At 38.9% G+C, this 12,339-nt stretch overlaps 1 protein-coding gene across 8 annotated transcripts in view; it reads left to right on the top strand.

Moving 5' to 3' along the window:
- Nucleotides 1-5,711: 5,711 nt before the first annotated feature.
- KCNU1 (potassium calcium-activated channel subfamily U member 1) overlaps nucleotides 5,712-12,339 on the top strand; it is a 151,752-nt gene continuing 145,124 nt past the window's right edge. For all 8 annotated transcript variants that reach the window (NR_134267.2, XR_001745486.3, NM_001031836.3 and 5 more), the window contains exons 1-2: nucleotides 5,712-5,943; nucleotides 8,644-8,763. Coding sequence is in view for 6 of the 8 variants with exons in the window: in NM_001031836.3 (NP_001027006.2) it covers nucleotides 5,749-5,943; nucleotides 8,644-8,763 (315 nt within the window). In the remaining 2 variants the exon portion in view is untranslated. The remainder of the gene's footprint in view (nucleotides 5,944-8,643; nucleotides 8,764-12,339) is intronic.

Here is a 12,339-nt window from a genome sequence, read left to right on the forward strand (position 1 = left end):
ACAAAGTGAAGCAATTTTTCTAATCAAATCACTGACATGTTAAAAAATTCATCTGAACTTAAAAAAAAAGGAAAAAAAAAGAAAAGATTCCGTAGCACAGTCTTCACTTCTTAGATTTACTATTAAAGGCATGGCAGTGAAAAGCCCCCAGAACTACCCAGAGGTATCACTCAGAGACCCAGGATCACCTTTGAGGCTTCCTGGCCCTCATGTCCCAAATGCTGATTTTTCCCCAGACATCACTCACACCTGCCCACTTGTGTCTCTTCCCACCAGCCCCATCCCATCAGGACTAGCGTCCTGTCACTATCGAGACCAGCAGTCTCTGCATGAAAACCAGTGTGATGCTTTTACAATCGAAATGCAATGACTTACCTCCCTTCTTTAGAACCTATCAAATATTTCCTCTTGACCTTAGGATAAAGTTGTTCTTGGTTTAGCCTAAGCTGGAACACAAAGCCTTGCATAATCTGGTTCCCTTTGAGACAGCCAGGTTGGAAAGGGTCCCCGGAAAACCTCCAACGAGCCTGCGCACTAGGAGAAATGCGCACTGGGGTGGAGACACAGAAGTTCGTGCCCTTTGGAGCAGGGAGGAGCCTGGTCCCTCCTCTTCCTGTGTGGAACCCGGGATTCAAGCTGCAGGCGGGAAGCGCTCTAGCAGGGGCTCGCCTTGCGAGAGTCCCTGATTCGAGCCTCTTTTCTTCCTCTTCAATCAATACTACTCTCTCCTACTCACCATTCAAACCGTCTATGAGCCTAAATTTTCACGGCCATGGGACGGACAAGGACCCCGTCTTTAGCCGAACTAAGGAAAAGTCCTGCAACACCTTTATACACGCCCAGCCTTCTTTTGGGTCACTGTGTTCCATCTGGCCGATGATTAATGCACTTCAGCACTTTGGGAGGCCGAGGCGGGCGGATCACGAGGTCAGGTGATCGAGAACATCCTGGCTAACACGGTGAAACCCCATCTCTACTAAAAATACAGGAGTGGTGGCGGGCGCCTGTAGTCCCAACTACTCGGGAGGCTGAGGCAGGAGAATGGCGTGAACCGGGGAGGCGGAGTTTGCAGTGAGCCGAGATCGCGCAACTGCACTCCACCCTGGGCAACAGAGCGAGACTCTGTCTCAAAAAAAAAAAAAAAGAAAGAAAGAAAGTGCATTCTCCTTTCCACATATCTTCTCAGCCTGATCATGTTCTACCCCAGCCTCCTTAACCCCTTCTGTTGTCCTGGCCTGGGAAGCTTCTCATTCTACAGACCTCAGCTTCAAACATGACGTATTTGAGGTAGCTTTCCTGACCCCCTCGATCCTCACCAGATTAGTTTATTTTCTAAACACTTTTTGCAGTTTGTTATTGTAAATGTCTTCCTCAGTTGACTCTCTTCTATGAGGGAATGAACTAGATTTGTTTTGGTGTCCCTGGTGCTCCCAGTCCTTGGTATAAGGTAATTGTTAAACACATACATACACACACACACACACACGACGAAGATTCTAGCTTGCAGCTGGTAGTCAAAAAAATAGTTACTGTTTTTTATCCTTATCAAACCATCAAGTACAAGGAGAGTACTATCTTAATTACTGTGAAGGGTATCATTGCTTCAAAGTTCCCTACCTTCCAAGTTCTGAACACTGAACTGCTACCAAGCTACGAAGGGCTTTGCCTAGTCACATGTCCACCCATCACCAAATAACTCACTAACCGAGAATAATTACCATTTTTTTTTTAAGACGGAGTCTCACTCTGTCACCCAGGCTGGAGTGCAGCGGCATGATCTCGGCTCACTGCAACCTCCACCTCCCGGGTTCAAGCGCTTCTCCTGCCTCAGCCTCCCGAGTAGCTGGGATTACAGGCACCCACCACCCCACCTGGCTAATTTTTTTGTATTTTTATTAGGGAGGGGGGTTTCACCATGTTGGCCAGGCTGGTCTCAAACTCCTGACCTCAGGTGATCTGCCTGCCTCGGCCTCCCAAAGTGCTGGGATTACAGACGTGAGCCACCGCATCTGGCCATAATTACCAAATTTAAATTTGCAAAGATGGTGACACTTTGACACTTGATCCAAATCAGGTGCCCTTTTCACTACACACACACACACACACACACACACACACACACTTACACACATGCACACACACTATGAACCATGCATTACACACTATGGATGATGCTTTCATCACAAGAACAGTTTGCCGTCAAAGATGGAGAATATGGAGCAGAGAAATCTGGATAACTTAGGTTAAGGTTCATGCAGATTCAGTATTTCATTCACCTAACAAATATTTTTGAGGATCAGCAATGTATTCATTCAATCGCCAAATATTTACGAAGTCTACACATTCCCAGGTATGTGCCAGGTACAATACTAGACACAGAGTAATCGGTGATGAGTAAAGCGGAAATGATATCCCGTGCTTGTGGAGCTTATAGTCTTGTGAAAGGAGATAGAAAATAAACCAGGCAACAAGTAAATCACATAACAACAAATCTTGAGTACCATGAAGTGCTATAAAAGAAAGGGTCAGAAAGCCGTAAGAGAGACCAAGGGAGAACTGAAGGACAACAAAATAGCAGCCACTATTGAAGTGAGTGCTCTGGGCAGAGGGAACAGAGGCATTGTGCTATAAGGGCCTGGACCAGGAAAAGGTTTGCATGTCCTCATAGCTAAGAGGAGGCAGTATGATTGGAGCGCAGCATAGATGATGTGTCGTGGGATGGGAGGTGACCAGTCTCTGTGGTTTGCCAGGACTAGGCGGTTTCTCCAGTCACTGGACTTTCAGTTTTGAACCTGGGACAGTTCTGAACAGGGACTGTTCGTCACTGTAGGTTCAAGATGGGTTTGAAGAGACTGATTTTGAAACCACCTGCACATTTTTCTACTCATTTGCAGACAGTAATATTATTATCGTGATAACAGCATATTAGAGGGACAAACTACCTGCCTGTTCGAATTGAATGGAATCCTTTTTGTGTTCATAAAGCAATATCTGCAAAAAGGGAAGAGGTGCCCAGGATGCATCATAATACAGCAGAATCGAAATACTTTGAAAATAGTGTTAGCCCAAGCAGCGCCATCCTGTAAACCCCTGCCATTTTGCACACCCTGGTTAGGGTGGAAAATTCCCCTGGAGGGGCTCGGGCCATGAGAAACATCCTGGCAGGTCCCAGGCCTAACCGTCTGACTGCAGGAAATTCTTCCTTTATCACATCCTGCCCTGCAGCGACCCATACTGCCCCACCTCTCCTGTCGGGACCTACAACTGCTCCAGTCTGTAAGCGGGGCTTGGGCTCCAGCGCTGTCTGGTGTTCCCCTTCTGCAAGTCTTTGTCCAATAAACCTGTGTTGCTGTTGAGCGACCTCCCCTTGTCTCTGTTTCTTTTCTCCATCCTAACAAACAGTAAATAGTAAAAGGGAAGAAAATAAGAAAATTAAAGTGATAATGATAGATAAAAGGGAGAATACTAAGTAAAGGATGTGGATGAATTTTGGCTTGGAAAGTCTGATCTTGTCCACATAGCTGTAAGTGTGTGTGTGTGTGTGTGTGCGCGCGTGTGTGTGTGTGTGCGTGCGCACACACACATATGTGAAAGAGATAAACAAGTGATTTCTCCCTCCCTCCTTCCCTTCCTTCCTTCCTCCCTCCCTTCCCTCATTCCTTCCTCCCTCCCTCCCTCCGTTCATTCCTTCCTTCCTTCCTTCCTCCCTCCCTACCTCCCTCCCTACCTCCCTCCCTGCCTCCCTCCTTCCTTCTTTCTCTCCCTCCTTTCCTTTACTTCTTCCTCCTCCTGTCTTTATAATTAATGCCATTCAAAAAAGGAACTGAAATGGCTAATGGCATCTTATATTGAGTTTTATGCTTTTCAAAATATGTTCACACTACCTTCTTGAATCCCCACAATAATTCTATCAAGTAGGTATTATCTTCCACATAAAATCAAAAGACTACGAACATTAAAATGACTTGTTAGAAATCACACAGTAACTTAATAGAAGGACTGGGCTGGAACGCAGGGCTCCTAACTCCTAGACCAGTGTTCTTTTAAACATCGCCCTTTGTTATTAGCTAGCTCAATGACAGGATTTTGTAGAAATGATAGGTAAGCTTAAAAGCAGGAAATGTAACTGTGGCAGCAGTCCTAGGAAATGCTACAGTTATCTTCTGAAACAGCCTGCCAAACAGTGTGGAGTCATGGCGGGCTCCCAAGGACAGCGTGATGATTCCTCTTGGGCCTCTTCACCTGGTGTCAGGTTATCTTGGTAATAACTGGGGTGAACTAGGCCCTCCACTGGGCTCTGACATTTTGCCTGCCACTTGTGCACACTGAAAGGCATGACATTTCTTACACCTTTGAAAACATCAGGGAAAATCAAAGAAATTTCTCTCATTCTGAACTTTACCTCTGCTGGGCCAAAAGGTTTGCTGCCAGGGCAGTAATAAAAGCAAGAAAGGGGAGAGTTCCATAAAGAAGAGATAAGTGGAATGGATTTATGGGCTGAAATAACAATCAACCAATGACCACACTAGTTAAATTGTCTTCTTCAATACCTGCACTCTATACTATGCCTTTCTTATGTAAAGAATAAACAAAACCTTTTTTTTTCTGTTTCAAGATAATCTTGATTTTCATTGTGTGTAATTAAGGAGTACAACGTGATATTCTTTGGATTGATGCACAGCAGATACACATATTTTCAAGTCACGTGATAATTTAATACATTCACATAATTTGTGTACTTGGGATATCAATCAACTTACATATTTGTATTTTCTTTGTGCTAGAAACATTCAAATTTTTCTCTTCTAGCTATTTTTAAATGTACAATAGATTATCATAAGCTATAGTCACTTCACTGATCTATAGAACATTAGATGTTATTTCTTCTATCAAACCAAATATTTGTACCCATTAATCAACTTCTCTTTATCCAACTTCTTTCCTCAGCCACCCTTCCCGGCATCTCGTAACCATGAATCTACTCTCTATCTTTATGAGATCCACTGTTTTAGCTTCCGCATACAAGTACAAACGCAAAATGCTCTTTTGATAAACTTATGCATAGTGAAGCAGTGACTACAGTCAAGCAAATTCATATATCTATCATCTCACAGAGTTAATCATCTTTTGTGTGCGTGTAACAAGAGCCCTTAAAATCTACTCTTTTAGCAAAAATCCTGAATACAAATAATTTTATTAATTATGTTCTTTGTTCTGCACACTAGATCTTCTAGACTTATTCATTCTGCATATCTGCTCCTTTGTATAAAGGATAAACAAAAACTTTAAAGTACTTCTCTCTTCTGTCCTTCCAAGCCTACTAAGCACGTGGCATCCTCCCAGATAGAGAACCAACTCATTCACACACATAGTTGGCTGTTGTTTCACTCCGAAAGAGTTGATTTGAAATTATTTGACTGCATTAACTGAACTGATAACCAGCTGATCATTGCTACAGATAATGGGATTTCTTCAAGGCATAGAGAAAGTCGTAACAATCCGATCTAGAATTATGATTTTTTTGACTATTCATATTGTAGGCCCCAGCCATCTCCAGTTGTGTATTCATTCACAACCCATGAGCTGGCACCGGGGGATTGGCAGACCCTTGTTCCTGGAACTTCTCACTGGTTATCACGCCTAATGTTGGAACACTGTGGTACAGTGAACTCTGATTCCTGGAATTGTTACCAGGCGACCACGGCGTCATCAAATGACCTGGCAATTCCGTCTACTGATGTCTCGAACATGTTTCAGACTAAGCTACGAAATGAAACTTGGGAAGACTTGCCAAAAATGTCCTGCACAACTGAGATCCAAGCAGCATTCATTCTCTCTTCCTTTGTGACCTTCTTCAGTGGACTCATCATCCTGTTGATCTTCAGGCTGATCTGGAGATCTGTTAAAAAATGGCAAATCATCAAGGGAACAGGAATTATCTTGGTCAGTTTCCTTGTTAGGGATCCCTCTGTGTGAAGTCAGAGATGAGTTTGGGGTAGTTTTGTGTTTAGTAAAAGATCTAAGCTTCATTCAGTTTTTCAAGCTAACAGAGTCAGCTTCTATAGCCTGGTGCCTCAGAAAGGGTGGTAAGCCAGACCTCAGGCCACATTCTGAGGCCTGAAGAGACAGGGCCAAGCCTCTTCTCTCTCCCATCACTGGAAAAAGCAATGTCTTGTATGGATAATGATTAATGTTAGCTCTGGAAACAGAGGTCACTGTTCTGAAAAAAAGTTCATAAACATTATGTCCATGCCTCTATCTCGAATTTTAACAAGACAATTGTGCTAGGTCATAGAAAGGAGGTGAAAGGGAACAAGACATCAACATCAACCTTGCTTTCATAAATTGTTCATGCATAATGCATATGTACTGACGTGTACATTGCCTTTTGTATACCATATGAAGACAACACATTGAGTTGCACATACACAGAGAAGCCCATGCATACATGCCTGTGCCATCCAGGCATAGATGCAAGGACATTTCTTATACCCAAACAAGCTTAGCAGGAGTTGATGTTGTTGAATAACAGCTGGCAAATGATGATGATGAGAATAAATGATGTATTATACAGATAAGGCATTGCTTAAGAGCTTGAAATAAAGCTCTCAAATGCTGTGTAATGGATGTTCTATTACCAGAGGTCAAAGGTGAAGAGTTTTACTATACCCTGTGTAGTTTGTTTCCAATTTTGCTTCCCAAACTTTCTTTCTCTGATAGATTATAGCAATTTCCATAACACAACACATTTCACCTGTGCATCATAATATTGAAAATTTGCTTAAAACATTTCTTTTAGTGCTAAAACCTACATAAAATATAATTCATAAATTGATAAGTTTTTAAAGTTATTGGTAATATGGAATTTTGTTTTCCATATTTGAAAATTATCCAATACTGAAGCTTATAGATTTTGTTCCTAAACAAGTTTATTCTATTGATTATTTCTACATTATGGATTTTAAGCTGTGGCACAATAATTGGAGAAAGAATTCTGGGATACTGACATATGGGTAAATAGCTATGATGGATCTGCCTCCTTGTTTCTACCTTGTTTTGTTGTTGTTAATGCACAACTGAATTTGTAGGATTTTTAAATCTTCTTAGTCTTCTGCTCCAGGCAATGTTCTTCTTCTCCATTATGTTCATTTTGTGTGATTACAAAAATGTGACAGTACATTTGTCAATTTCCTATATTTTTCATTTCTTACTTTGGGTGTAATTTATGTCTACACTTCGATCCAGGTATACCCTTTAATTACAAATATTTAGCAAATGTTACAAAATGTTAAGAAGTGAGCCTGAGCAACCAGAATGCTGTACCATTCTGCTTTTGAATCTTGAGGAAAGAGTTTGATCAAGTTGAGTTACTTTTCAATGATTTGTTTTATTACATCAAATTAAGAGTGACCTGTTTTTCTCTAAGCCTTTGGAGAAGTTGGACAAATGCAAAAAAAAAAAAAAATCAGAAATCTAGGTGTACTGTGAAGAGTTATTTTAAAAATTATTTGGAGAGTTACAATTTCTCTCCTTAAATGTGCATTTAAAACATGTATTACATCTATAAATATGAGTTTATTATATCTTAGGACCAATTTGTTTTTCCACAGAAGGTAGCTCCAATTTTATGATGGAATTCAAATGAGTATTCTATATTAATGTCATACCTAGGATTTTTTAAAATTAATTCTCAGACAACATTTAGAAACCGACATGAGTCATGTTTATTAGAGGGCAAATCATTGATCAGGATGTGAACTTTTATCAAAGAGTTTTTTAATGAGACTTCCCTTTTTATCATTCAGAAAATATGAGTAGAAAAATTAAGTGATTTTGAAATCCTGGCTTCATATAAAATGAGCTTTTTTGAAAGTCAGAGGGACTCATCTAGCTTGGTGTGGGTAGTCCTAGTTGGTTTGTGTATTTCTTTGTGGTGGTTCTAGACTATTATCAACAAACAATGAATGCCAGCTCAGGCCCCAGCCTTTCCTCATTGCCTGATATTAGGAAAGTCATTTAATTTCTCTATACCTTGGTATCCACATCAATATAAAATGTATTTAGTCATGCCTAACTTTATCATATGAGATTACCGTAACATTTAAATATAATAAGTAAAGACATTCTATAAATGTGAGGAAGGATTATAATTTCAGAATATAACACCAGGCAAAAAACTAAGAGCAACACAAAATTGCTGAAAACTTCCCCCTTCTCTCACAAAATGCGGACACTTAAGTAATCAGCTAAAAAATCAATTTGTAATCTTTTTCTCTTTGTCCACGTATCTTGATGAAAACTGCTACACTTATACCCAGAGCAGAAGGAGGCATGATGCTCCCAATTCTGATCATTGCAATGATGGCAGTTTGAAGGGTCTGGGACCGGGTATACATGAGAAAGACATGGAGGAAGACTGCAGAATTCAGTAGAAAAAAAGCTGTGCAGAAAACCAGGAAAATGCAAACCCAGTAAAATCCGTTTTATGAAATATTGAATAAGCAACTTCAGGGTTCCCTGGTTTGGACAAGGTGGAGTGATTTTCGACTGATACCATCACAAGAGGCTCCATCAACGTAAGTAGAACAGATTTCTTTCTCTCAGATCCAGCTCACATTGTCAATTTCTTTCTCTTGATTGTAGGAACTGTTCACATCAGGTACCATCGCTAGGAGCCATGTAAGAAGCCTCCACTTCCAGGGACAATTTCGTGATCATATAGAAATGTTGCTTTCAGCCCAGACCTTTGTGGGGCAAGTGTTGGTAAGTACATTTTCAGTGTTAGCTTGCTAACAAACTTTAGCCATAGGTGTGATTATAGTCAGCACAAATCAATTGATTCCCTAGGTAAACAACTGACGTTCCTTTGGTCGTCTTATCTATAATATCACCACCTCCCCATCCCCATCTCCTTGTGTCTACCACTCTTTACCCGTTATCTTGCTTTGTTTATCTCTGGAATGAATACGATTACTAATAATTAGATTATATTATTATAATAATTTTATAATATTAATATAAATCATATGATATGTTGTTAATAATGTTATATTATTAATAATGTATAATACATTATCCGTAATAATATGTAATTGTATAGAATATTATATAATTATTAGTAATTATATTCTTACTAATTATAGTTAATTACTAATTATATAATTATATATTTATAAATAGTAATATATATTGACTAATTATATATTTATAATTATATAATTACTAATTATGTATTATAATCATATTTTATATTTATTTTCAGTCTTTCCACTAGGAAGAAAGCTTTGTTAGGGCAATATTTGTGAGCGTTTGGTTCTCCTTATATATGCAGATGGGTGTGCACATAGATATTTTCAAAAAATGTTTAGTAAACTAATCAGACCTGAAATGTATAGCTAGTTTCCTCTCCTTTGATTTCAATAGACTCTTTATTTCATTATGCAAACTAGCCTTTAGTGTCCCTCTATGATATTTATCACTCTACTTCCTATTTTAATCTCGGTAATTTGAATGTATTAAATCTCACTTTGGGCATCATCTTCTCGGGGCATCCTAACCTTACCTCTTTATTAGGCTAAGAGTTCCTCCTCTAGCTTCTTTAATAATCGTTGAGCATTGCTATTAAAATTATCTGTGCACATGCTTGTCTCTCCCAGAGTACAGTGAGCTCCTGTCTAGACTATGTCATGGAAATGTTTATTTCCCATTGTCAGGAAATAGCAGATGCCCTATAAATGAAGATTGCCCTGATCCTCCTTTCAGTAGTGTAGTTTGATCTAAAATATGAAAAGATGAAATTTGTAATTAGGGGTATGCTGCCATCAGTTGGTCTTATGGTGGAAGTAGTTTCATGTGAGCTAAAGATTATCCTCTGTTTTTTATAACTAGCAAAAACATGGCTCTTTTCCAGTTACTGTTTAATTCTGATCTAATAAATTACTAAAGCTTGGTTGGAAGTATTAAGTAAAACTGCTTTCATAAAAGCTGCAGGGAATGTTGAATCATCTGGAAATGTGCCTCTCCTTTTTCTGTCTTCCGAAGTTTTTGATCTCTTTTCCTGAAATCTCTGTGGGTATGACCCATTGAAGAAGGATTTTGTAATTCTCTCTGATGATATCAGGGATTTGTTGGTTAGGATCTCTTCAAATGTTCAAGTCATGTTTGTGTGAGAAACTTTGGGAATAATATATTAAAGGTCACTAGGGTGAGGGAGAAGGGAACTTACAACATCCATCATATGAGCATTGCATATGGGAAGTGGGTGGGAAAGGAATGATGAAAAATTACATACCAATAAAAATGACTTATTTAATGAAGGGAAACTGTATTATTTTAGCCTATAACAGCTGGTGATTAGCTAGTTGGAACAGCAGGAGGCAAGGAGTAAAGCTTAGATTAGAATAAATGCTCTAGGCCGGGTGCAGTGGCTCATGCCTGTAATCTAGCACTTTGAGAGGCAGAGGCAGGAGAATCGCTTGAGCCTAGGAGATCAAGACCAGCTTGAGCAGCATAGCAAGACCTCACCTCTACAAATAATTTAAAAGTTAACTCAGCGTGTTGGCCTGCACCTGTGGTCCCACCTACTCAGGAGGCTGCGATAGGAGGATCGCTTGAGCCCAGGTGGTCAAGGCTGCAGTGCTGCAGTGAGTTGTGATCATGCCACTGCACTCCAGCCTAGGCGACAGAGAGAGACCCCATCTAAAAAAAAAAACACTCTAGCATGGAAAGGCATAACTGAGTCTCTTAGAGATCCCAAGTACAGTTTTAAGTTCTCTTAAAATGTCTTATAGTTCCTTCCTTCTATCCTTCTTTCCTTCCTTTGTAATTCTTTTACTTCTTTCAACAAATATTTATTGTTTGCCAAGTACATGCTAGGCCAACACTCTAGGTATAGTGGAAAGTTCAAGCAAGAGACTTGCATTTAAGAAACTTAAATTCTAGTGGGGGTAGATACGAAAATTACATACATACATAAATAAGATAAATTCAGATGAGGAATGCCATGAGGGAAATATGAGTGAAGTGTTTGTGAGGTATGGTTGTTACAGAGTAAGATCACAGTGGTGAGAGAAAAAAATCTCTAAAAAGGTAAGATTTGAGCTAAAGCATGATAACAAAGAATAAAGCAATTGAAGAATTAAGGAAATAGAGTTCCAGATTGAGAGAATAGAATTGCGGAGGCAAAGAGCTCCACAAGAGTTTACTGCAAGTACCAGAAGGAGGCTCCTATGCTAGGGACATGGAGGGCAGGGGACAGCGAGGTCTGAGAAGAGACTGGAAAATGGCACAGTGTCTTAAGATTCATAGGGAAGAGCTACAAGACTCAAAGGGAATCACTCTATTCTAAGGTAAAGGGATGTCTGAGATCTTAAAGTATGAGTTGACATGGTCTGATTATATTTTAAGGTTCAAGAGGCACTAAAGGCTGAAAATAAAGGAACTGTCAAAAGTAAGCCAGGAAAATGATGGTAGAAATTAGGAATACAGTTTTAATATCACATAAGCTTAAATTCAACAAAATTCAACCATAACCTTTGAAATGATAAATGTAACAAACCACAAAGAAGATATAACATCATTAACATCACTGCACCAAAAATATAACCTCAAGATATGTAAAACATTAAAAAGTTATTTTGATAAATGAAAAATAATTAAAATTAGTGAACTAAGTATCAAATGCAAAAAGTTAGAGAATAAAAACATTAAATCTAAGCAGAATAAATTTAAAAGATAGTTAGAAATTAATGAATTATAAAACAGCCGATTACTTCAAACAATGAAATAGAGAAATAAATAGCTAGTCTATAAAAAAGGAAAAAAAAAGGAAAAAGTACAACTATATGAAATAAGACATTTAAATGAGAAAATAAGTATAGATAAAAAGGAAATTGAAAATATATATGTAATTAATTTTGAAAACTGGATGATTTCTTATGATAATATGAATTACCAAAACTATCCATAAAAGGAGAAATTTAAACAGACCAAATATCTGGATAAAACAAAGTTGTCAAAGACCCATAATCATCTTCACCACCCTCCCTTTTTGCCCCTTCGATGAGAGACTTGGATGATTTCAAGGACCAGTCTACAAAACCCTCAAGGAATAGATATCTCTAATGCTAATTAAACAGCTCCAGGTCATGGAAAAGAAAGCATTACATTTTCTTTTCCAATGAAGACACAGTACTTATATGAAAATCCCCCCAAATAGCAACTTTTTATATACCCTACAAACTAATGCCCTTAATACTTTGAGGGAGAATACATGGGCAACCACTCAATAGAAGACAAAGAAAAGGAATAAGGAGGAAGAGGAAAATAGGAAGATGGAAA

Source organism: Homo sapiens, chromosome 8 (genome assembly GCF_000001405.40).
Source record: "Homo sapiens chromosome 8, GRCh38.p14 Primary Assembly".
In the NCBI taxonomy this organism is placed as follows: domain Eukaryota; kingdom Metazoa; phylum Chordata; class Mammalia; order Primates; family Hominidae; genus Homo; species Homo sapiens.